Below are 27,379 nucleotides of genomic sequence, written 5' to 3' on the forward strand. Positions count from 1 at the left end.
TTTTGTATTTTTAGTAGAGACGGGGTTTTGCCATATTGGCTAGGCAGATCTCAAACTCCTGTCTTCAGATGATCCTCCTGCCTCAACTTCCCAAAGTGCTGGGATTACAGGCGTGAGCCACCTTGCCCGTTCTCTAATACTTTTTTATTGGTTTTTTGATTTCTGATCTTTTATATGGGACTTCTTTTTTTTTTCTGAATTATTTTAAGGTCTTATCTTTGTAACTTTTCCTAAATTCATAATGGCATCCTCTGGCGTGGATCTATTTTCATGCACTGTTGTGGGTTCTCTTTTAGTCTAAAAGAGCATTTTCAATTCTAGGAAAATATCCTGATTTATTGATAAAACACTTTATCTTTCTGAATTTTCTATATCTTGGATATTAGGCTTCTTGACTGGTCCTTAATTTTTTTTTTCTCGTTTCCCATCTGTTTTTTTTTCTTTGAGATGGAGTCTCACTTTGTCACCCAGGCCGGAATGCAGTGGTGTGATCTCGGCTCACTGCAATCTCTGCCTCCCAAGTTCAAGTGATTCTCATGTCTCAGTCTCCCAAGTAGCTGGGACTACAGGCACGAGCCACCACACCCAGCTAATTTTTTATATTTTTAGTAAGGGGAAATTTTTAGTAAGGGGTCTTCCCATGTTGGCCAGGCTGGTCTTGAACTCCTGACCTCAGGCCGTCTGCCTGGCTTGGCCTCCCAAGGTGCTGAGATTACAGGCGTGAGCCACCGTGCCCGGCCCATCTCTTTGTTTTTGTACTTTATGTTTTAGGAGATTACGTCAGTTTTATTTTCTATTCCTTGTATTTTTAATTTCTGCAATCATTTTTTAAAAAATTTCTAGAGTCCTATTTAATTTCTTCTTTTTTTAATGTGGTGTTCTGTTCTCAGTTCATGAAGCATTCTTTTTTTCCTATCGCTAAAGATTTTTATTGATAGTTTTTGGGCTTTTTTGAACATTTAGTTTGTCCTCCAAGTTACTTTTTTCGATTTTGGTGTCGTCTCTCATGTTAGAAGCTTCCTTCCAGTGTCTGGTAACTCTTTTGCTTTCTGCTTTTATTTATAAGTAGGGCAATTAAAAAGCTAATTGGATTTCTGTGTGCATGAGTGTGGAGGGTTTATCAACTGTGGGCTTTGCTGAAGGATGATATAGCTAGGTTATTTCCTTGAAGAACTCCTGGTATGATTATCTTTTCAGGTCCTTATACATGGTGTGGTCAGATTTGCCGCCCCCGCCCCCCCCCCCCCCCAAAAAAAAAAAAAAAGAGCTTTTCAGTCTTTGTTTGGAGGTTATTATCTCTGGTTGCAAGGTTTCTGGTTAGGGGAATAGGCTAGGGGTCTCGACATGATTATTCAGATTCACTTTATCTCCATGTGTTAAGTATGGTAAACTTGCCTGCAACTATACCTGTGTCTCTTAAGCCAGAGACCTTCTGTTTTGCCCTCTCCATAGAATAAACCTTTAGCTTTCAGTTTTTCCTCAGGGTTGGGGTGGTACAGAAGCCCACTGTGTAGATTGTTTAGGGGTTCTGGAGGTATAACTGCTTTTTAAACAGAGTGGTAAAAATCCTGTTGTATTTTTACTTGCACCTCCAGAGTATTCTACATCTAGAGGCGTCACTAATTCCTAAATCCCTAAATCTTTTGTGGGATCTATGATGTAAATTGGATTGGTTTTAATTTTAGGATTGGGTTTTTTTTTTTTTTTTGGAGATGGAGTTTTGCTCTTGTTGCCCAGGCTGGAGTGCAATGGCATAGTCTTGGCTCACCACAGCCTCTACCTCCCGGGTGCAAGCGATCCTCCTGCCTTAGCCTCCCAGGTAGCTGGGATTACAGGCACCTGCCAGCACCTCGACCTCCCAAAGTGCTGGGATAATAGGCATGAGCCACTGAGCCTGGCCCCTTGCAGTTCAAATTTGGATTCATCTGTTTTCTTGCAAAAATGAGAGCTGCTGAACAGTCAAAGTTGGAAAAAGGAAATATCAAATTTGTTGAAAAAAGATTTTAAGAATATCTACTAATACACTGCAGTGATTCAACACAATAACACAATTTCCTTTCACTTAGACACAACACAATTGCAAATGCTTAACAGAACAATAAAATGGTTTAGTACTTACAAGAAAACTATTGAAGATGTTGGGCTGAAAACATACACTAGCCTCCACTTCCTACTCAAAGTCACAATAAAGTGAAGTTTTTTAAATCATAATCTCATAGAAATAAAAAGAATGAAAGAGAAAACAACTAAATTTTGGAAATTATAAAGTAGATGAATAACTGATTTAATGTCCCTAAGAAAACCCAATCCTAGTCTGGGTGCAGTAGTTCACACCTGTAATCTCACACCCGTAATCACAGGCCAAGGTGGGCGGATCACCTGAGGTCAGGAGTTCAAGACCAGCCTGGCCAACGTGGCAAAACCCCATCTCTACTAAAAATACAAAATTATCCAGGCATGGTGGCGCACACCTGCAATCCCAGCTACTCAAGAGGCTGAGGCTGGGAGGATCTCTTGAATGTGGTGAAACGGGAAAGGTTCCCTTGTCCCCCTTAAAGGGTGTGCGGTCGGGGGTGTGGCTCGCTTCTTTGGTGTCCTGCTGCTCAAACCTCTACAGGGAGTGTGCAGTGCTGAAGCCCCAGTGGGCGTGTGTTACCCGGTGCTCTTTTAGTTTACCCATCAGCTCATTGAGACCTCTTGCCTAACAAGGACAGAGAGTTTTTTGTATCCCGGAGTTCTTGCCTTGGTGTACAGAAGAATTGGATCACAGGTGGACTTGGAGAAAGAATGCAAGGTTTTATTGAGCGGAAGTAGCTCTCAGAAGATGGAGGAGCCAGGGGGAGATGATTTTCCCCTGGAGTCTGGCCACTGTGTGGCCCAGTGTCTCCTCCGACTGCCCTAGCCCGTCTCTGCATCTTTCCGTTGGTTTATGGCCTGCCCAGTGCCAGCATCTGTTGGTTTGCTGTCCTGCCGGTGTGCTCCACTCGATGTCCTCTTGACCTCCAGCCGCTTTTGTCTTCTTCCGCTGATGTGTTCCTCTCCACGTCCAGCCGCTTGTGTCTCTCCTGTTAGGGTCTCGGGGGTTTTTATAGGCACAGGATGGGGCCATGGTGGGCCAGGGTGGTCTTGAGAAATGCAGCATTTGGGCATAAAGGCAGGAGTGCCTGTCCTCACCTAGGTCCATGGGCACAGGCCCAGCCCTCTCCAGAGACCCACCTTCCTCTGTCTACCCAGCACTTTTCTGCCTCCCTTCTATACCACTAGGAGGTGGAGGTTGCAGTGAGCTAAGATCGCACCACTGCACTCTAGCCTGGGTGAGAGCAGAGCGAGACCCCATGTCAGAAAACAACACAAACCACCAAATTTGAACTGCAAGGAATATCTGTTATGTGTTTTCCTAGCTTCCCACAGTGCTTAACATGGTGGTGACTTGCCCGTATTAGGTATCCTAGAGGATTAAAGATGAATCTCTGTCCATGTATCAACATTGTTATCAGTTAAATGTCTCTAAAATCTGATTCCGAATGGATGAACAATTTTCCTTTCGTTTTTGTTTTCAGGTTAATAATAAAAATAATATTAGGGCATTAATTTTTTTTTTTTTTTTTGAGACAGAGTTTCGCTCTGGTTGCCCAGACTGGAGTGCAATGGCGCAATCTCAGCTCACAGCAACCTCCACCTCCCAGGTTCAAGCAATTCTCCTGCCTCAGCCTCCCGAGTAGCTGGGATTACAGGCATGCACCACCACGCCCGGCTAATTTTGTATTTTTAGTAGAGACAGGGTTTCTCCATGTTGAGGCTGGTATCGAACTCCTGACCTCAGGTGATCCGCCCGCCTCGGCCTCTCAAAGTGCTGGGATTACAGGCGTGAGCCACCACGCCCGGCCCGGCATTAAATATTAATTGGTCTTTTAATGTATCTCAGCTTTGAATTTAGGATTTGATTAACCAAATTTAACTGTAGTATTTTGTCTTACTATGACTGCAGAAGTAGACAACTCTTGCCACATGTACATTGTCTGATTTTCTCTTTATTTGTATCTGGCTATCATATCTCTCTTGGCTACTTTGGCTCTTTTTTTTTTTTTTTCTTTTCTATGCCATACACACACAGTAGTAGTGGCTGTTTCTTAACAGGTTGATTTGAATTTCCAGGTGCCCCTTTAGACATGAAATATGTTCTCAGTACTATACTCTAATTTCTGCTTACTTCTTTGTCACTTTTATCTGCTGCAACTTAAGAAATTTGTTTTATTTTATTTATTTATTTTTTTGAGACGGAGTCTCGCTCTGTTGCCCAGGCTGGAGTGCAATGTGGTGATCTCGGCTCACTGAAAGCTCCGCCTCCTGGGTTCACGCCATTCTCCTGCCTCAGCCTCCCAAGTAGCTGGGACTATAGGTGCCCGTTACCACGCCCGCCTAATTTTTTGTATTTTTGGTAGAGACGGGGTTTCACTGTGTTGGCCAGGATGGTCTCGATCTCCTGACCTTGTGATCCGCCCGTCTCGGCCTCCCAAAGTGCTGGGATTACAGGTGTGAGCTACCGTGCCCAGTCAAGAAATTTCTTCCTTCTTTCCCTTACTCTGTTCCATCCTTCCTTGTGACATTTCTCTTTGGTATCTTTCTTTTCAGAGAAACTTTGGTATCTTTCTTTTCAGAGAAAATTAACATTCGAACATTCAAATGCTAATTTAATCTTTTAAAGTAAAGCTAATTACTGAGATCACATGCTTGGTATTTTTAATTTTATCATTATGGTAAAACTGGACCGAGATACTTCAATATCTGTCAGAAGAACAGATGATTTGATGGTAACCCTGTATAAGAATTTTGTTTCTAAATTTCTTAAACCTCTTGATTAGAATGTTTTAATAGTTGTGAAAGGCTTTAGTAAGTTTTATAATTTAATATTATTATCAATCTTAGCTAATATTTCAGATTATTCAGATTATGCATCAGAAGTATGCTTTGGCAACTCTCATTTAAATCCTCAATGTCTTTGACCTTAATTACACATTGGTTAAAATTGACCTCCAAACCAGGAATGATTCTTATTTTATTAAAAACGAAAAATCCTAAGAAGCAAACACTCAAATCAGCTGCATTTGAAGTTAGATTTATAGGAGAAAATAGTTTATAACTTTTGTGTACATATTACCAATATCTTCTAGTGGTAATATTAAAGTGGTCTATTAAAGTGGAATTGCCATTTAATATTCTAGTGGTCTATTAAATATTTAATATTTAATATTTAATATTCTAGTGGTCTATTAAAGTGGAATTGCCATTTAATAAGTAAAGTTATTTCCTAGTACACTTTATCAGTTTTTATAGGCATTAGCATGGATTTCTTTATTTTTTTAAGAATGAATTTAATGCATTGAATTTCTCATAAATGCCATGGTTTTGAACTTTAACATAAATTATTTTATAAATATGATTAAAGCTTTCTGCTAGTCACTGTTTAATAGAAAAAGAATAAACCTAAACTGTAGTTTTTAATTGAAATAAAACTTGTACCTATCCTGAATGTATGTGTGTTTTATCTAAAAGATATGTCTATAGGATTAGAAATTAAATGTGAAGCTCATAGACATTTAAAGAGAAACTGATGTTTTTATGATAACCTCAGGGAAAAGATACAGACTAGGGCAGGATTTCTGTATCTGGGTTTATGAACAGGTTTTAGCCCCTCCCTGAATTCCTGTATGCAAAATATTGTGTTTTTTGTCTGTAGAGAGAAGGTTCATATTGTCGGATTATGAAAGACTCAAAATAAAGAACTGGAGGCAAAGAAGTAAGCAAAGAAAAAATTATTATATGAATGTTTAAGAGCATTGTGGCAGTATTTCCCTTTAATGTAGCTCAGAAATATATCTCAGTGGGTTCGGGGAGTTCATTGCTAAGTTATTTTTATTTTATCGAGATATGATTTACAAAACATGAAGTGCTCAGAACTTAAGTGTATAGTTAAAAGAGTGTATGCTTTTTGTAAACCACACTGCTTTTAAAACCTGAAACATTTCTGTCACCCTAGAAAGTACTTTACCTTTTAAAAATAAAACCATAGGGTCATTTCTGATGGTTTTTTTGACATAATATTGTATAAGCATACATTCTCATTTCACATAGTTCTAGAGATTCCATTAGCTAAATGGGGTGGTTCAGCTTTTATGGAAGAGGAACAAGTAGTTTACTAGTTCTGCTTTTTGCACTTGGTGCTAGTTTTGCCCATTGAACAGCACAGCTGTTATAACTGTGATGATCTTTGAGGTGAGCAAAGAACTGGGATGACATCCAGTATCTCAACACCTGGATCTTTAGCAAGATTAGCTCACATCATTTCTTATAGTTAATCATGTTTTCCACTTACCCCACAATGATGAATAATCATCTGACATAAAATAGTGAAAGAGCTTTGATAAACTTTTCTAAAGACAGTAGTTCAAGGTATAGTAACTTTTTAAAAAAAATCAACAATCATTGATCATTTACTGCATTAGAAGGTAGCTTCTGAAAAAATACCCAAGTGAATAAGACATATGGGACCTGCTTCTAAATTGTCCATGGTAATAGAAGAGACAGGAGTTAACGCACACTTCTCATAGCTTGGTAAATATAGTAGTAGAAGACTATACGTGTACCTAAATGGGTTTATATATTGGTAAATTAGAGAATCAGTTATATCAAGCTATAACTTCTGATTTTCCTTCTGTAAGTAGCATTAATAAGCCTTCAAGTGGGTAGAGATCTAGATTTTTGGAGAAAATCTTTTTCAATCAAAATAAAAAAAAACAAAACATTTCCCTTTTTGAGAAAATGAAAAAATATATAAATACAAAATTTGATGTCAAAATGAATATTTAGAATGAAAAAACACAGATCACAATTTTAATAACACAAGGTTAGTTAACATCACAAACTATAGAAAAATAACATTTTTATGGCAACTGCTAGATATCTGTAATACTTTTTTTTTTTGAGACGGAGTCTTGCTCTGTCACCTAGTTGCAATCTTGGCTCATTTCAACCTCCACCTTTCAGGTTCAAGTGATTCTCCTGCCCTAGCCTCCTGAGTAGCTAGGATTATAGGCACATGCCACCATGCCCGGCTAATTTTTGTATTTTTAGTGAAGACTGGGTTTCACCATGCTGGCCAGGCTGGTCTCAAACTCCTGACCTCAGGTGATCCTCGCGCCTTGGCCTCCCAAAGTGCTGGGTTTATAGGCGTGAGCCGCTGCACCCGGCCTCTAATACTTTTTTATTTAGATTTTTTTGACTGTATACTTTTTGACCACTTCTTCATATGTCAACAGTGTACTTTTTTCTCTACCATGACTGATCAAATTGTGTTTATTATTGATAGTTTAGAAAAGTTTGAGATTGACAACTCGTTTTATTGGTAGTGTCTGTAATATTTTAAGATTGTTGTCAAATTTGGGGCAGCTCCTTCTGTTAGGCTGTTCTTGCATTGCTATAAGGAAATACCTGAGACTGGGTAATTTATAAGAAAAGAGGTTTAATTGGCTCAGGTTCTGCAGGCTGTACAGGAAGCATCGTGGCATCAGCTTCTGGGGAGGCCTCAGGAAGCTTACAATCATGGCAGAAGGCAAAAGGGAGAGCAGGTACGTCACATGGCAAAAGTAGGAGCAAGACAGTATGAGACAGAGGAAGTAGAGAGGAGAGAGAGAAAGGGGGAGAGTAGGGGATGAGATGCCACAGACTTTTAAATGACCAGATCTCGAGAACTCATTCACTATCACATAGACATCACCAAGCCATGAAGGACCCACCCCCATGATCCAAACACCTACCAGCATTGGGGATTACAATTCAACATGAGATTTGGGTGGGGACAAATATCCAAACTGTCTCACCCTTGGTTTTATATGAATTGCAGTGTTTTTACATACTTCTGTGCCAATACCATATGGAGCTCATATCTAGATGTCCCTGGTCCTCTGCCTTAGTGTTAATGATACCAGATAAGGCAGTGCATTGGGTGGTAGGAATATTCCTGGATGTCATTCTTGTACCCAGACTAGCAATTATCTAGTCATACATAGATGTGATTGCACACTACATATATCCTATGAAACCTAAGTATATATAAATACCCAACTCAGCTTCCCCTTAGTTCAGTGCCCAGAATATCAGATTACCGAAGGAGGAAGTATGATGGAGAGGGAGTCAGAAACAGAAGTTAGAAGTCAGAACAGAAGTCTTTAACCAATTGTAGTTGGATTGCTTTCGTGATTTTTGTTAGGGCCCTTTCCAAGGCCCTGAATTTTAAACTGTCATGGTAAATTCTATAGCCTCGTACTGTAATTTTGTGCTTGGATTTTGTTTGTTCAGTTGTGCTACTGAAATGTTAGTTAAAATACAAGATGCATATTATTCTGCATGCATACTCTGTACTATGCTACTTGAACCTATCATGATTAGGCCTATTTGTATAAGCTGAAGATATAAATTTTGACAAATGTCTAAAGTATTTGCTGTACTTTCAAATTTTTGTCTTGGAATTCTTTGTCAGTTAGCTCAACAAATACTGAAGCTCTATTCTGACCTAGGCCTTGTGATAGGTTCTGGAGATGCAGTGATGCCTTAGAAACATTTCTTATTTTTGAGAAACTCATGGTGCTGTGTAAAATAAACAATGATAGTATCCTGTCTGAACACAGAGAAGGCATCCTTAACCCGTCTTAGGATATCAGGGAAGCTTCCTGAGGAAAATTACCCCTGCACTGATTATCTAGGGATGACTAGACATTATTTGGTGAATAAAGAAAGTGCAGTTAAAATTGTATGAGATAAGGAGAAGTAGGCGCTACCTGATTTTAACTTTTTGTGGTGCTTTTTTTTTTTCCTATCGGGCTGGCTTCTGTATTATAAGAGTTTAATTTCAAAGCATTAAGACTACACAACTTCTGTGTCACTGATTGCATTGAATGTCTTTTGCAGGCAAATGCTTTGGCTAAGCTGGTTTTTGTTTGTTCTTTTTTTTTTTTTTTTTTTTTTGGCCAAAGTTTAAGTAGGGCAGGACTATAAAGGGGCCTAATATTGAAAATGAAATTTTGGTGTTAGGACTAGGAAATATTCCTCAATGTTACTTCTCTTGCACAGTTGGAATCCTTTAGATTTGTCATAGTGAATCAAATAAAGATGACAGATTGATCCTTTTCTTTAATATTGGTAACAATGGCTCCTCGCAATAAGAATAAGATTTTTCTTCAACATCATTATTTGAGATAATAAACATTTATTACGCATTCCGTTATGTTTCAGCTTCTGTGTTAGGTATTGGGAATGCAAAGGTATCTAAGAGAAGACTCATATCCCTCGTAACCCACGATCTAGTGAAAGAGAGGGAGAGGGAAAAAGAAATATAAACAAATAAGCAGGAGGAGGTCATATTTTAAGCTGACCCTTCATGGGTTAGTATGGCAAGGGGATAAAGTCAGAAAGGGTATTTTATTTATACGCATGTAAGTGCATGTAAATATGCATATATATAGTCATTTGTTATTGAACATTTGAAAAATGCTAGTTCCTATTGTAAACCAAAAACTGACTGAGGCAGATCTCAATCAATTAGTGGTTTATTTTGCCAAGGTTGAGGATATGCTTGGGAAAAAGAAACACAAGTCACAGTAGGATCTGTGACCTGTGCTTTTTCCAAAGAGGGTTTTGGGAACTTCAATATTTAAAGGGGAAAGATGAAACAGAAGGGGAAGGAAAAAAAAGGAGGGAGGGTAGGCAGTGAGGCAAGTGGTTACATTCTTGTGAGGCTCTGATTAGCCAGCCAACTTTCTCTTAAGCCTAGTGAGTTTGGGGTTCCAAGATTATATTTTTCTTTCACATTATATTGAGCGTTTGCTCTGTGATTGCTGCCTCAAAACTAGGGTGCTTCAAATGTAATTTACTCATCTATCATAACAGTCCTTCAAAACTGGTGATGTCGTTTGCAGTTTTTTCATTTTAAACTTAGGGAAGTTCTTAGCCAGTAAGTTAGAAAGACAGGATCTGAAACTGGCCGTGAAATATCAGACAAATTACACAATTTCCCTAAGCTTAAAACTAAAAAATTGGGGATGATATCACCAGTTTTGCAGGAGTCCCTGACAAGTGAGTCGTAGACTCTGAAAAGGCAGGATCAAGACACTGGGTCTTCTTATTGTTGATTTTTGTTTTTCTTTTTAGAATCAGGGTCTCACTCTGTCACTCAGGTTGGAGTGCAGTTGCATGATCACAGCCTACTACAGCCTTGAACTCCTGGGCTCAGGTGATTCTCCCACCTCAGCCTCCTGAGTAGCTAGGACTACAGACATCACATCCCTGGCTAGTTGGCTAGGTTTTTTTCCCCCCCGCCAGAGATGGAGTCTTACTATGTTGCTCAGGCTCTTATTGTTGAATTTTAACAGCTCTTTGTATATTTTGGATATAAGTCCTTAACTATGTATGTGATCGGCAAAGATTTGCTGCTAGTCGGTGGCTTGATATTTGACCTTCTTTACAGTGTCTTTCATAGAGCAGAATTTTATTTATTTATTTATTTTGAAGCAGGGTCTCACTCTGTTGCCCAGGCTGGAGTGCAGTGGCACAATCTTGGCTCACTGCAGCCTCAACACCCCTAGGCTCCTGCCTCAGCCTCCTGAGTAGCTGGGGCAGCAGGTGTGTGCCACCACACCCAGATAATTTTTTGTAGAGATAGGGTTTCAACATATTGCCCAGGCTGGTCTTGAACTTCTGAGATGAAGTGATCTGCCTACCTTGGCCTCCCAGAATGCTGGGATTACTGCCGTGCACCACTGTACCCAGCCACAGAGAAGAATTTTAAACTTTAATGAAGTCTAATTTATCAGTATTTTCTTTCATAAGATGCTTTTTTATATCTAGAAACTCATCACCAAATTCAAGGTCACATAGATTTTCTTCTATGTTTTCTTCTAGAAGTTTTATAGTATTGTGTTGTAGTTTTAGGTCTATCATCTAATTCATGTTAAGTTTTGTGAAAGGTGCAAGATCTGTGTCTAGATTTATGTTTTTGCCTCTGGATGTCCCAGTGTCCCAAGTAGTAGAGAACTACCACTTGTTGAAAAGATCATCCTTTCCCCATTGAATTGCCTTTCCTCTTTTGTCAGTATCAGTTGACTCTATTTGTATGGTCCACTGTTCACTTTTATAATGACAATTATATTTTTCTTTGTGCCTTAAAAAATGCTTAATTGAGACGTAGTCACATACCTTACAAATCGCCCGTTTAGAGTGCACTGTTTAATACAGTTTTTTAGTAACCATCTCCACAGTCAATTATATTAAAAAGTCAACTTTTTAATCTTACCAGAATTCTTTAATTTTTCAGTTCCCCTCACTGTGGTTAATATCTCTCGACTTGACACCACTTGCTTAAGGAGAACTTCAGCTTCTCCATCCTTCCCTAATTGTTTCTTTTCATAATTGCCTGTTTTTTGAATATAATAGTGTCTCTGTTATTTCTAAAGATACTGATTATATTTAGTATGTTCTTCTTGGTTTTTGTTAGCATTAGATATATTGTTGAGTAGTTCTTTCATGGTGTTGGTTTTCCTGGAATATTTAGTGATTTGGGATTGTCTGCTCAACTTGAGTGTTTGAGGATATTGGTTTGCTTCTTGGTGAATATACTGATTATGGGAGCATACCTCTGGTGACAGGAAGGAGTAGGAACTGCTGCCTAATGTATAGAGGTATGCCAGTAAGTTCTCTTTTGACTGCCAAGTTCCCCTGCCTGCTGGGGTGGTGGTTAAAATCCCTCCCTCCACCATGCTCTGAGCTTCAGCTTAGGCTGTGCTTGCCTACTTCTCAGAAAAAGGCCACTCAGAAGGGTATTGGGATTCACTTGTGCAAAGATCCTGGGTCAAGTTCGCCTATAATCTTCTGGAGATCCCCTCAGGGTCCTCTCCCGTAGTCTAGATTCTGAGTTTGGAGCACAGCAGAATCACTCTTACCTTCATAGAGACCTCTACTGGGCATATCTATGCTAGGTTTTCTCAGACTTCTCAGTCACTATGTCTCATTAACTTTTTAATCTTATAAGAATTCCTCGATTTCTGAACTGCGGATAGCAGATAGTGTTCTTTCTTTTTTTCCAGCCGAGTTAAGGATTTCTTACTCACTTAATGGTAACAATAGTAGCAATACCACCTGCCACTAATAATAGTGATTTAAAAGGGATTATAGGCAGAAATGTAAGTAGATATGTCTGTTCAGACTGCTGTCTGTCTTGAAACAAGGTTATCTTTTCAATACTCATAGCTTTTAGCCTTTAGCTTTTAGTCTTATTATTTCTAGAACACATTCTATTTTGACAGCTTCTAACATTTTTTGCAGATGCATGTCTGCCTTTCTGAAAGCGTGGATGAAAGCCAAATGGCAACATTTGGGGGAAATTGGTGTAGGGTGGAATTTTACTTTTTCTTACTGGCAGAGTATGTGCTAAGTATTCATATAAATTAGAGATGGTATAGGAGGGGAATTAGGTGGTTTGAAGATTAAGATGTATCTATTCCCAGCACTTTGGGTGGTGGGGATGGGGGGATCACTTGAGCCCAGGAGTTTGAGACTAGCCAGGGCAACAAAGTGAGACTTCCTCTCTATAAAAAAATACAACAACAAAATAATTAGCTGGACATGGTGGCGTGAACCTGTGGTCCCAACTACTTGGGAGGCCGAGGTGGAAGGCTAAGGTAGAAAGATCGTTTGAGCTCAGGAAGTTGAGGCTGCAGTGAGCTGTGTTTGTGTCACTGCACTCCAGCCTAGGGGACAGAGTGAACCCTGTCTTCAAAAAAATACATAAATAAAATTACAAAGGGGTGGAGACAAGGGTAAGGAAAAAAGAATGTTTTAAAAATAAGAAAAAAAAGGTGCCTATTAATAACTCTCTTGGTATAAATTAGCCTTGTGTTGTTCGTGAATGACTTGATTAAAATGTGGTGAAAAAGGGAGAAAATTATTAGAAATAATTGGGTAGAAGCTAAAGGTAAAGCATTGAGTAATGTTGGGTAGTGGGTAAAAGTATGGGCTTTAGGCCGAGTGCTGTGGCTCACGCCTGTAATCCCAGCACTTTGGGAGGCTGAGATGGGCAGATCTCCTGAGGTCAGGAGTTCGAGACCAGCCTGGCCAACATGGTGAAACCCCGTCTCTACTAAAAATACAAAAATTAGCTGGGCGTGGTGGTGGGTGCCTGTAGTCCCAGCTACTCAGGAGGCTGAGGCAGGAGAATCGCTTGAACCCAGGAGGCGGATGAGCCAAGATCGGGTCACAGCCCTCTAGCCTGGGTGACAGAGCAAGTCTCTGTATCAAAAAAAAAAAAAAAAAAAAAAGAATGGTCTTTAGAGATTTAAATCCTGGATTTAAATTTTGGCTCCTTAATTTACCACTTTTATAATCTTGAGCAGAGTATGTAAGTACTTTAAATCCTTAGATTTGTCATCCATAAAATAAAGAAAAATAATAGCTTGTATATCAGAGTTACTAGGATTAAATGAGATATATTGCATGTAAAATAGTTGCGAGTACAAAGCTTGCGGTAAATGTTAGTTAATATTAATCATCATTATTATCCTGATGTAGGAGTTCTCAGCCTGAAGTTGACTGGAACTTTCAGTTAACAAGTATTTATCGAATACCTGATCTGTAGTGTTGGACTTAGACCTATGGAAGGAGCTACTGATGTGAATGAAAGGTTAGTACCTAGAGGCGGAGCAGAGAGAACTAATAGTAGTGAAGTTCTTAACATAAGTTTCAGTAGTAAGGTAGGTATTATTATCTCCATTTTGTAGACGAGGAAGCTGAGACTCAGTAACAGTAACTTCTTCGAGACCCTGGTTCTGTCATTTAGCTAGCTGTGGTTAGACTAATAACTCACTTAACCTTGAAGAGATGGAGCTGTTGGCACAAATACATGATTTGTAACACAAATCATTTATTTTACAATCATTTGTGTGACAAATAATTTGCTTTTAATTTTGAATAAATTTACATATTCTTCAGTGTCAATATATAGGTATCTGGTACAGAAAAAAAATAGGGGTAATACAACAAAAACAAAAACTGTTAGGAACTGGGCCTCACAGCAGGAGGTGAGCAGCCAGCAAGCAAGCATTTCCACCTGAGCTCTGCACCCCGCCAACCCCTGTGGAAAAGTTGTCTTCCGTGAAACTGGTCCCTAGTGCCAAAAAGGTTGGGAGCCACTGTTTTAGAGTCTCAAAGAGAAAATAAATGATACTGAAATTTGCAAAAGATAAATCAAATTGGAAGACTAAGAGATATGTATTCAGAGCTATCTCTAGGACTGAGTTGTTTACTAGACAAATCACCCTGTCCTGCTCTAAAAATTGATTTGCCTTCAAATATGAGTAAGAATGGGAAAACAAATGTGAATATCGTGGATGTTTATTTGGAAAGCAGTAGAGTAATGCAATGAATTATTAATGTGATACCTCTAATATGTAATACATCATTCACATTCTAGTCAGCATTCCATAGTGGCTGAGCATGGTGGCTCAAGCCTGTATTCCCAGCACTTTGGGAGGCCAAGATGAGGGGATTGCTTGAGCCTAGCAGTTCGAGACCAGCTTGGACAACAAAGTGAGACCTCATCTCTAATAAAAATACAAAAAATTAGCTGGGTGTGGTGGCGTAGTCACAGCTACTCAGGAGGCTGAGGTGGGAGGATCACTTGAGCCATTGATCATGCCCCTGCATTCCTGCCTGGGCAATAGAGCAAGACCTTGTCTCAAACAAACAAAAAAACAAAGCACAACATTCTCCATAGTTATGATGCTGTGTTGGAAGCTGTACAAGAGAAATTAGCAATCTAATACCTGTCCTTTAAGACTTTCGTACGTTGTGGCTGCTCCCATATGTTGTTAATGGGATTGTAAAAGGGTACAATTTATTTGGGGAAAAAATAGGCACTATATAAAATTTAAAAATGTAACTGCTCTTTAAAACAACAGTTCTAGGAATTTAACCTTCATACATGCGTACACACAAGGATGCTTACTGCAGTGTTGTTTGTGGTAGCAGATGACTGGAGGAAACAATCTAAATGTTTTAAATAAAGGACTGATCAAACTATATTATAATATAATATATATAAGGAAATACTATTTCAGTCTTTAGAAAGAATAAAGTAGATTTACTTGTATCTTAAATATAACAGTCTTCTGGATATGTTAAGTGAAAAACATTATTAAGTACACTATGCTACTGTGTAAAAGCAAATAAAAACAGGCACAAAACTTTCTAATGCCTGTAATCCCAGCACTTTGGGAGGCCGAGGTGGGCGGATCACGAGGTCAGGAGATCGAGACCATCCTGGCTAAAATGGTGAAACCCCGTCTCTACCAAAAATACAAAAAATTAGGTGACCGTGGTGGCGGGTGCCTGTAGACCCAGCTACTTGGGAGGCTGAGGCAGGAGAATGGTGTGAACCCAGGAGGCGGAGCTTGCAGTGAGCCAAGATTGTGCCACTGCGCTCCAGCCTGGGCGACAGAGCGAGACGCCGTCTCAAAAAAAAAAAAAAAAACAAAACAAAAACAAAAAAAAAACTTTCTAATGCTTATACCAGATACTAGAAACTGTAATTTCTTCTGAGGTAGGTGGGGTAAGAGGGCAGCATACTTTATGTTTTTGAAAATTTTTGTGAAGATTTGTATTTGTATGTCTTAAAATATGTGAGATGTATGCATTTGGGCATACAGTGTTGCTACAAGAGCTTGTACTCACTGATGAGGACTTCTGTGTACATGCTTGGGTATTTATGCTTTTGAATTTGAAGACTCTGTCATTTTGTCATTTGGTCTTTTTTTTTTTTTTTTTTTTTTTTTGAGTTGGAGTCTCGCCCTGTCGCCCAGCCTGGAGTGAAGTGGTGCAATTTTGGCTCACTGCAACCTCCGCCTCCTGGGATCAAGCGATTCTCCTGCCTCAGCCGAGTAGCTGGGATTACAGGCGTCTGCCACCATGTCCGGCTAATTTTTGTGTTTTTAGCAGAGATAGGGTTTCACCATGTTGGCCAGGCTGTTCTTGAACTCCTGACCTTAAGTGATCTGCCCGCCTCATCCTCCCAAAGTGCTGGGATTACAGGCATGAGCCACCTTGCCTGGCCTGTCAGTTGGTCTTTTGACCTGCGAATGAGGAGCATTATTGACCACCACCATTCCCCGGTTGGGTGGATTCTGGTAGGAGAAGATTCAGGTAGCAGCTGAAGGAGAAAACCTAACAAAGATTTTAAAAAGAGTATTTTTTAAAAGTATTACGTGGTTAGAGTATTCTGCAGGAATAAAGCAGACGGGTTAGATAGAAGGAAAATTAGATGCAGGACTTGAAAGCAGAAATGTATGTGGAAATGAGGAACGGAGAAGAGAGTCAAGAGGCTGCAGGGAACTAAAAACATTTACAAACATCTAATCTCTAAATGATACACTTTTGTAAAAAGTCATTTTCCGGACTCTCAAAAAACAAAATAAAAAAATTGGAAGCCTAGATGATAATTTGTGGTTTCTTAAGTAGCATAAGAAGAAAATTGCAGGCTGGGCATGATGGCTCATGCCTGTCATTCCCAGCACTTTGGGAGGCTAAAGCGGGCGGATCACTTGAGTTCAGGAGTTCGAGACTAGCCTGAACAACATGGTGAAACCCTGTCTCTACTGAAGATACAAAAATTATCTGGGCATAGTGGCACATGTCTATAATCCCAGCTACTTGGGAGGCTGAGGCAGGAGAATCACTTGAACTTGGGAGGCGGAGGTTTCAATGAGCCAAGATTATGCCACTGCACTCCAGCCTGGGTGACAGAGCAAGACTCTGTCTTAAAAAAGAAAATAAAAGAAGAAAGTTGCAAAATGGGGAGTAGAACCTTGTTTTCCTGATTTCCAGTCTAACCCTAAGATTATTCCAAGATGGCCTGAACCTTTCAGCGTAGCACCCCCCCAAAAAAAGAAACCCAGAAATTAAAAAAATTTTCTTTTAAACTTGATGTGTGACAGTTATTTCTTTCTGAACTAATTATCTTTTCCCCCATTCAGTCTTGAGGGATAGAATAGGATTTGGGGTTTTAGCATTGCACTACCATTTCTTTCTATGAGTCATTGTGGTTCAAGAAAAGAAAGGATAATGAAAATACTAAATGTTGCATATATCCTCTCATTTTGCCACTGTCCTGTGATACAGGTAGTGTTCATGTTTTGCTATTTTTATTAGGCTTTCACTGCTAAAGAAAAAATAGGCTCTGGAAAGCTAAGTAATTTGCCTGAGATAGTAGCTGATGTGTGTCAAAGTTGGCCTTCACAAAATTGAATTCAGATTTTATTTTTTCTTTTCTTTTCTTTTTCTTTTTCTTTTGAGACGGAGTCTTGCTGTGTCACCCAGGCTGGAGTGCAGTGGCGCAATCTCGGCTAACTGCAACCTCCGCCTCCTGGGTTCAAGCAATTCTCCTGCCTCAGCTTCCTGAGTAGCTGGGATTACAGGCCTGCGCCACCATGCCCAGCTAATTATTACGTTTTTAGTACAGATAGGGTTTCACCATGTTGGGCAGGCTGGTCTCCATCTCCTGACCTCATGATCTGCCCACCTCAACCTCCCAAAGTGCTGGGATTACCGGCATGAGCCACTGTGCCTGGCCGATTTTCTTTTTTTGGAGACGGAGTCTCGCTCTGTCACCCAGGCTGGAGTGCAGTGGTGCGATCTGGGCATGGTGGCATATGTCTATAATCCCAGCTACTTGGGAGGCTGCAACCTCCGCCTCCCAGGTTCAAGCAATTCTCCTGCCTCAGCCTCCCAAGTAGCTGGGATTACAGGTGCACGCCATGACACCCAGCTAATTTTTGTATTTTTAGTAGAGACGGGGTTTCACCATGTTGGCCAGGCTGGTCTCAAACTCCTGACCTCAAGTGGTCTGCCCGCCTCGGCCTCCCAAAGTGCTGGGACTACAGGCATGAGCCACTGTGCCCGGCCTAGATTTTATTTTTTCTACCAAAGTATAAAGTTCTGGGAGGAGAATTGATCAAGAAAACATTGGAAGCCTAAAACGTCGGGGCAGAGTGGTTTGATTAGTAGATGACTCTGGGGGAGGTGAGGCTCGGACTTACCTGAGTGCAGACACAGCTGAGGTCCTTGTAGTTCTCATGTACTCTTGCCAGCCATTTTCAGAGCTGCTTGTCACATCTTCAGTTGCTGCAGCCATCTCAGCCGTGTGCTAATTAAAGGAAATATACTTAACACTTTGTCTGAAGATTTGCACCACATTAGTTATAGGAGACCTCTTTTCCTAATTAATCACACATAAATTAGTAAAATGTCTTTTTTGTAAAATATGTTTGTGAAGTATGTGTCCTTTTTTTTTTTTTTTTTTTTTTGGGAGACGATGTCTTGCTTTGTCATCCAGGCTGGAGTGCAATGGCGTGATCTCGGCTCACTGCAACCCCCGCCTCCTGGGTTCAAGCGATTCTCCTGCCTCAGCCTCCAGAGTAGCTGGGATTATAGGTGCGCACCACCATGCCCAGCTAATTTTTGTATTTTTAGTAGAGACAGGGTTTCACCATGTTGGCCAGACTGTTCTTGAACTCCCAACCTCAGGTGATCCACCTGCCTCAGCCTCCCAAAGTTCTGGGATTACAGGTGGGAGCCACTGCGCCCAGTGAAGTATGTGTCTTATGCAAAATTTTGATAAAGGGTTAGAAAGAGGAAAATGAAGTAAGTTTCAAGCTTGGTAGGCATATGTCTATTTATATTATTACCATTTATATTTATATAAATAAATTTTTAAATTTCATTTTATTTTTATTTTTTGGAGGCAGAGCCTCACTGTGTTGCCTAGGCTAGTCTCAAACTGCTGCCCTCTAGCAATGCTTCTGCCTCAGCTTTCCCAGTAGTTGGGACTACAGGCGTGTACTGCCATACCTAACATTTATATTTTTATAATTATATTTTAGAGATGCTGGGAGCAAATTTGGTGTTTATTACATTGTCTCATTAAACTGAAGAATTTCTGCACTCTAGTGTGGGCCTAGAGCTTGACTATATCTAATATTTGACCTTTGGATTTACACTTTTGCACTGGAAAGTCGCTGAGTTGTTCTAAGCAGAGATGTATCATAATCTAATGAGTGTTTTTATTTTTAAATTTTTTTCTTTTAGCTCCTGATTCTCTGGTTGAAAAAAAATTTTAAATATATTTTTTAGAGAGGGAGCCCCACTGTGTTGCCCAGATTTGTCTTGAACTCCTAGGTTCAGGCGATCCTCCCACCTCGGCCTCCCAAAGTGCTGGTATTACAGGGAAGAGCCACTGTGCTGGGTCAATTTTTTATTTTTATTTTTCTGGACAGGGTTTTGCTCTATCACCCAGGCTGGAAAGCAGTGGCGTGATCTTGGTTCACTGTAGCCTTGACTTCCTGGGCTCAAGTGATCTTCCCATCTCAGCCTCCTGAGTAGCTGGGGTTACAAGCATGCACCACCACACTTGGTTAAGTTTTGTATTTTTTGTAGAGACAGTTTCACCATGTTGCCCAGATTGGCCTGGGCTCAAGCAATCTGCCCGCCTCGACCTCCCAAAGTGCTGGGATTATAGGTGTGGGCCACTGTGCTCAGCCCTGTGATGAGTGTTTTTAAAGTGATCCTTTTGCTGTTGAGTAGAGATAGGAGAGGGTGTGTGTTATGAGGAACATCGGTTTAATTCTAATTAAACACCTATGGAGAGACCTACATTTAAATGAGAATGCTAGTACTTTAGAATGAAAAATACCTGTTACTTGAATTGTATATTCAGGTTGACTGATAGATTCTTACTTTATTTCAAGATCCTCAGTACTTTTTGACAGCTCCTCAGATGATTATAGTAATGCAGCCAGGGGTTGAGAACTACTGGTTTATCTTAGGGAAAGAGGGAGGGATTGGGGTTGGGGGTGTAAAGTTGAGAGGAGGTAGAGTGAAAAGCTTTGGAGAGTTTGGAAAGTGTAACCATTGTTTATGTGTTTTTTTTTTTTTTTTGGAATTCCACTTCCGTATTCATATGTTCAAATGCCTAGATGTTTTTGATGATGTGAATTTAATAACATTAAAGTTTTCCCACTTCTCGAGCTGAGATCGTGCCTCTGCACTCCAGCCTGGGTGACAGAGCGAGACTATGTCTCAAAAAAAAAAAAAAAAAAACAGAAAAAAAAAAGTTCCCACTTCTCCAGCCTCTTTTTTTCCAGTCTGTTCCTTTTCATGAGAAGTGAAGGAGAATAATGGACAGGGGTGACCCCTAATTTGATAAAAATTTGCTAGTATTAACAGAAGATTTAAAAATCGCTCGCTCTCTCTCTCTTTTTTTTTTTTTTTAAAGAGGCAGGCCTCATTCTGTTGCCCAGGCTGGAGTAGAGTGGCATGATCATTGCTCACTGCAGTCTTGAACTCTTTGGGCTTAAGCTATCCTTTGGCTTCAGCCTCCTTAGTCCCTAGCTGGGACTACGGGCTGCACCATCACACCTGGCTTAATTTTTAAACATTTTTTTAGAGATGGAGGGAGTCTCATGCATTGCCCAGGCTGGTCTCGAACTCCTGGCCTGATGCAATCCTCCTGCCTCTGGCCTCCCAAGTAGCTGGGATTACCAGTGTAAGTCACCACACTCAGCTCCCTGCCTTATTTTTTTTTTTTTTTTTTCAAGAGATGGGGGTCTTGCTATGTTGCCCAAGGGGGAGTGCTGTGTCTATTCACAGGTGTGATCATAGTGCACTACAACCTCAAGGGATCCTTCCACCTCAGCCTCTTGAGTAGCTGGAACTAGAGGTGCCCAGCTCTCTTAAAAACTATTAAAACCACCTTGAAGCCTAGTTTCAGTTGATCCATTAAAAAATATTTATGTGTATATATACACATACACATAGGCTGTGTGTGTTTGTGTCTGTGTCTCTGTGTGTGCTTAAGCATTCAGAAATTGGAGCAAACCAGCCACACGAATGTCTAGCTACTTAACTGCTTAACCAGAATTCTGGACTAAAATTGATTACTGATACTTCCTATAATTGGGTAGAAAAACATGTAGCTTTTCTTTTCTTTCTTTTTTTTTTTTTTGAGACGGAATCTCACTCTGCCGCCCAGGCTAGAGTGCAGTGGCACAATCTTGGGTCACCACAACCTCTGCCTCCCGAGTTCAAGCGATTCTCCTGCCTCAGCCTCCTGAGTGGCTGGGATTACAAGGACCCGCCACCATGCCTGGCTAATTTTTTTGCATTTTTAGTAGAGATGGGGTTTCGCCATGTTGACCAGGCTGGTCTCCAACTCCTGACCCTTGGGTAATCCGCCTACCTCTGCCTCAAAGTGCTGGGATTACAGGTGTGAGCCACTGTGCCTGGCTGAACATGTAGCTTTTTTTTCTTGTTCCAGGATTTTTATGTTTTATTGATATCAAATTGTATCTCTATATTTCTTTTAAGAAGGAAACAAATTTATTTTATTAGAATGAGAGACTTAGAATAGGAGTGAAAGGAATACAATAACTAAAACATCATGGAAGTACTTTTTTGTTTTTTCATTAATTTATTGAGAAGAGGTGTTAGTTACAGCTTAAAAATTTTTCTTTTTGTGAGTTAACTAGACACAGCAGAGAAAGTTTGTAGGAGTTTTGGATGGAGAGCACAGTAGTTACAGCAATTCTATTGCTGGGATTTAAGCCAATACAGTTTAGGTCTAATGCTTGGTGAATGACTCTATTGAATGTCATGCCTTAAATATTAAACCCTTTTTTTTTCTTTTCTATTCATAGTGGTAGTCGCTCTTCTAAAACTTTTAAACCAAAGAAGAACATTCCAGAGGGTTCTCACCAGTATGAGCTCTTAAAACACGCAGAAGCCACACTTGGCAGTGGCAACCTTCGGATGGCTGTCATGCTTCCTGAAGGGGAAGATCTCAATGAATGGGTTGCAGTTAACAGTAAGTAGCCTTTTTATTTCTCAGTAGCCTGTGAATTAGGGTAATAGCCTCATTGTTGGTGAGTGTTGGTGCTGTCCATTCTAGGATTTAGTTAGTAAGCTAATATCATAAAAGAGTGATATCTCAATCTAACTTTAACCTTCATGTTACTTTATTTACTTTATTATTATTACTTTTTGAGACAGGGTCTCACTCAGTCACCCAGGCTGGAAGGCTGGAGTACAGTGGCTCAGTTATGGCTGACTGCAGCCTTGAACTCCTGGGCTCAAGCAGTCCTCCCACCCTCAGCCTCTAGCGTAGCTGGGACTGTAGGCACATACCACCCTGCCTGGCTCATTTACAAACATGTTTTAGTAGAGATGGAGTTCTCACTATGTTGTCCAGGATTGTCTTGAACTCCTGACCTCAAGTGATCCTTCTATCTCAGCCTTTCACGGTGCTAGGATTACAGGCACTAGTCACCACATCCAGTCCTTGTTATTTTATTTCTGAATATGGAATTTTATGAAATCTTGTTTCCTATTTTAATACAAAGCATAGATTTACTATCTTCATTATAATAATTTTTCATGTGTCAAACACTGTATAGACATACCACTCTCCTTTCTACGTGGATGATTTTATTTTATCTTTATAACCTTATGATGTAGGTATGATTATTATTTCGGTTTAATAGATTAAGTTGAGACAATTAGTAACTTGCCTAGGTCATATAGCTATTAAATGGAAGAACCTGGGATCAAATATACAGCTATAGAATTTCAGAGTCTATAGAGTCAACCACTATACTAAATTGCCTTTCTCAGTGGCATACTCAGTTATTTGTCTAATTGTGCTTTTTTTATTTTTATTTTTATTTTGAGATCGACTCTTGCTCTGTCGCCCAGGCTGGAGTACCAGTGACATGATCTCGGCTCACTCCAACCTCTGCCTCCTGGGTTCAAGCGATTCTTCTGCCTCAGCCTCCTGAGTAGCTGGGATTATAGGCACGCACCACCATGTCCGGCTAATTTTTGTATTTTTAGTAGAGATGGGATTTCACCATGTTGGTCAGGCTGGTCTCGAACTCCTGACCTTGTGATCCACCCACTTCAGCTTCCCAAAGGGCTGGGATTACAGGTGTGAGCTACCACGCCCGGCCAGTTGTGCTTATTTTTTAAAAAAAGATATCAAGTAGTCATCTTATGAAATTAGTAAAATATATTTATGAGATGTTCTTAACTCCTACAGAGAATAACGTATGAATAGTAATTATATTCTTGGGAATTAAGCCAGAGAAAGTTGAGGAATAAAAGCTTCAGCGTTTTTCAACATTAGTGAAAAAAATAGTAATAATAGAATTTTATAATTAAAGGAAATTTATTTGAATTTAGTAAAAATAAAATGAAATTTCATTGAAAGCATACACAAAATGTCTAGGCTTTAAGGAAATGCAAAACAGTATTTTTCTTATATTTAATGGCCTCTTATTATAATTTGAACTATGTCATGGGATTTATAAATTGAGCTGCCCCCCTCTAATACCTTTTAGGAACCAGGGGATTTTATTGTGATGTCTTAAAACTTACCATGACAGCATTTACACAAGAGCCATGTTATTATTATGTGATTATCCTCCTGGACCAAGAGAGTCTAGTTATTTGAAATAAAGTGATTTGTTTGCTTTATTGATGAGGCCTGCCGTATTTCTAAGATGTTTCTGTGTCATCTCCAAGACAATATTCAGAATGAATCTCCAATATATGTGTACGTTCTTTTTGTACTAATTTGTGCCTTTTTGTAAAATTTGAGAGTTCATTTACTCATGTTTAAAATGTAAGGAAGGCTGTATAGAGCTTCTATATTACAGTAGAGTCTGACTTTTAAATATAAAAGCAAATAATTTTCTGTCTGTATTCTGTCTCTTTCTCAGTTGCCACAACTGAGTGTCTGTACCTCTCTTATCTGCTAGGGATACATTCCAAGATGACCAGTGGATTCCTGAAACCGGTGATAGTACTGAACCTTCTGTACACTGTGTTTTTTCCTATACACTACGTACCTATGATAAAGCTTAATTCATAAAGCTTAATTTAAAATTTATTAAAGATTAATTTAAAATTAAGCACAGCAAGGGATTAACAACTGTTAATAAAATAGAACAATTACAGTTATACTGTAGTAAAAGTTATGTGAATATAGTCTCTCTCTTTCAAAATAATCTTATTGTGCTTTACTTAACCCTTTTTGTAATCCTTCACTCTGATAACCAAGGTGGCTACTATAGGTGATTAATGAGCAGGTATACAGCTAGACAGAGGGATGATTCACATCCCAAGCGGACGGAGTGAGATGGTGTGAGATGCTGTAAAATTTCATCACGTTACTCAGAATGGCACACAATTTAAAACTTATATATTGTTTATTTCTGAAATTTTCCATTTAATATTTTCAGCCCATGGTTCATCACAGATAACTGAAACCATGGATAGTGAAACCACAGATAAAGGAGGACTACTGTACTACTGAAACGCCTAGAACTTTGAGAACTCTTAAAATTTCACAGTAGTTCTATGATTTTACTACAGCTGGACAAAGATTGCTTTGGACTGAAGCATTAGAACATCTGCTTAGGGCATACTCTGCTTTGAAAATACAACATTTAACTGAAGTGTTGGATTTAAAATTTTCCTTATTTATAGCAATCTTCCCAAATGACACTTGATGAAGTAGGTGAATAGGGTTGGAGTCAGGACAGATACTTCCAGTCACTGGCAGTGATTCAGTAAACATTTCAGGTTCATAGAGGAGTAAAGGGAATTATTGATAAGATCTATATCCAAATAATAGGTGAAAGTGTAATTACTTAGCTAATACAGGAGAAAAATAGAATAATAAAAAATAATCCTGAAGAATATAAGGAGAGACTAGGTGCATTGGCTCACGCTATAATCCCAGCATTTTGGGAGGCTGAGGTGGGAGGATTGTTTGAGGCCAGGAGTTTGTGACTAGCCTGGGCAAAATCTGTATCTACAAAAATATAAAATAAAATAAATTAGCTGGGAGTGGTGGTTCACACCTGTAGTCCTAGCTACTCCAGAGGCTGAGGTGGGAGGATGGCTCGAGCCCAGGAGTTCGAGGTTAGCCTGGGCAGCATAGGGAGACCTCTTCTCTAAACAAATAAAATAAAAATTTACCTACCAAGGACTCTTGCATTCATCACTGTAGTTGAGATCTCTCCCCAGGCTTCACGAATTAGTCAAAACTCTACCTGATAACACTATTTTGATGTCTAAATTGATCTCAAAGTGAATATGTTCAAAATGGAACACAGAAAAATCTATTTGAATTTATGAAAGAGACCAGTGGTCCATATAAATAGGCAGCTGATCTTGACAAAGAAGAAAAGGCAATTCAGTGGAGAAAGTATTATTTTTTCAACAAATAGTGGTGAAACACTGGGACATCCAGATGCAGAAATATAAATCTAGACACAGATTTACACCTTTCAGAAAAATTAGCATGAATTGAATGATAGACCTAAAAATACAACACAATACTATAAAACTTCTAGGAAAAAAAAAACAGGAGAAAAATCTGTGCAACCTTGGATTTGGTGATGAGTTTCTACATACAAAACCAAAAGTGTGCTTTTAAAAGAAAAAATTAATAAATTAGACCTCATGAAAATTTAAGAGGCCGGGCACGGTGGCTCACGTCTGTAATCCCAGCATTTTGGGAGGCCACGGTGGGTGGATCACTTGAGCTCAGGAGTTCAAGACCATCCTGGCCAACATGATGAAACCCCATCTCTACTAAAAATACAAATAAAAAATTAGCCAGGCATGGTGGTGTATCCCTGTAGTCCCAGCTACTTGGCAGGCTGAGGCATGAGAATTGCTGGAGCCTGGGAAGTGGAAGTTGCAGTGAGACAAGATCGTGGCACTGCATTCCAGCCTGGGTGACAGAGCGAGACTCTGTCTCCAACAAAAAAAGAGAAAGAAAATTTAAAATTCTGCTCTGTGAAAGACATTGTAAAGAAAATAAAAAATGAAGCCACTGGCTAGCAGAAAATCTTTGCAGACCACATATATGGTAAAGGACCTGTATCCAAAATATACATAGAGCTCTTAAATTCAGCAATAAGGGCTATCTAGGCAACATAGCAAGACCCTGTCTCTAAGAAAAGAATAAGTTAGCCGGAGATGTACGTACATGTAGCCATAGCTACTTGGGAGGCTGAGGTGGGAGGAATACTTGAGCCCAGGAGTTCAAGGCTGCAGTGTACCATGATCCTACCACTGCAATCCAGCCTGAGCGACAGAGTGAGACCCTGTCTCTAAAAAAATGAAATAAAATAGAATTAATAAAAACGTAAGGAGAGAAGAAGAATCATACAATGAGTAGGATAAATAGATAGCAAATAGTAGGATATTAATAGTAAGTTGAAATCCAAATATTATCAATAGTAATTGTATTAAATGTAAAGGACAAAATGGTCCAACACAAAAGTTGATTGTCCGGGCATGGTGGCTCATGCCTGTAATCTTTGCACTTTGGGAGGCCATGGTGGGAGGATCGCTTGAGCCCAGGAGTTTGAGACCATCGTGGACAACATGGCAAATCTCCATCTCTACCAAAAATAAAAAAGTTAGCCAGGCATGGTGACACACACCTGTGGTCCCAGCTACTTGAGAGGCTGAGGTGGGAAGATCGCTTGAGCCCAGAAGGTGGATGCTGCAGTGAGTTGTGATTGCACCACTGCTCTCTAGCCTGGGTGACAGAGTGAGACTCCATCACAAAAGAAGAAAAAAACAAAACAAAAAAAACCCCAAACAAACACACCAATGTGTCAAGATGATTACAAAGCAAAACAAATCTGAATGCTGCAAGACATACTTTAAATATACAGATATAGAATGGTTGAAACTAAAGTTAAACACTAATCCAAAGAATCCCGATAGTCGTGTTATGTCAGATAAAGTAGACTTTTAAGGCAAAAAGCAATAAAAAAGGATATTTTAAAATGATAACTGGTTCAATTCCCAAATAGTATATAAAATTCTGAATGCATGTTTCTAATAACATCTCAAAAGTTTATTAATATTAGTCGACTGAACTAAAAGGAGAAGTAGACAAATCCATGGTCATAATGGGAGATTTTAACATTCCTCTTTCAGTAACAGATAGAAAGTGCAGAAGAAAAAATTGGTAAGGAATTAGAAAAATTTGAGCAACATGATTAACAGACTTGACCTAGGAGCACATGACCTAAGCACCTAAGAGTATATATATGTACATTTTCAAAAATGGAAACCAATACATTCTCTGACCATGGTGGAATCTGGCTAGAAAGCAGTAATAAACAGAAATCTGTATATGTTTGGAAAAAGTAAATCTCAATGGAAATCAGAAAATATTTTGAACTGAAATTTGGTGATGAAA

At 39.5% G+C, this 27,379-nt stretch overlaps 1 protein-coding gene across 6 annotated transcripts in view; it reads left to right on the forward strand.

Moving 5' to 3' along the window:
- Window positions 1-27,379, forward strand: part of MOB1B (MOB kinase activator 1B) — an 86,318-nt gene that overhangs the window by 35,235 nt on the left and 23,704 nt on the right. For 4 of the 6 annotated variants that reach the window (XM_011532412.3, NM_173468.4, NM_001244767.2 and 1 more), the window contains exon 2: window positions 21,789-21,955. In XM_011532412.3, the coding sequence (XP_011530714.1) occupies window positions 21,789-21,955 (167 nt within the window). Of the gene's footprint in view, window positions 1-5,737; window positions 5,798-13,614; window positions 13,727-21,788; window positions 21,956-27,379 lie in introns of all 6 variants that reach the window. The other 2 variants (XM_005265709.3, NM_001244766.2) reach the window with 2 other exon arrangements.

This window comes from Homo sapiens, chromosome 4 (genome assembly GCF_000001405.40).
Source record: "Homo sapiens chromosome 4, GRCh38.p14 Primary Assembly".
NCBI classification, from domain to species: domain Eukaryota; kingdom Metazoa; phylum Chordata; class Mammalia; order Primates; family Hominidae; genus Homo; species Homo sapiens.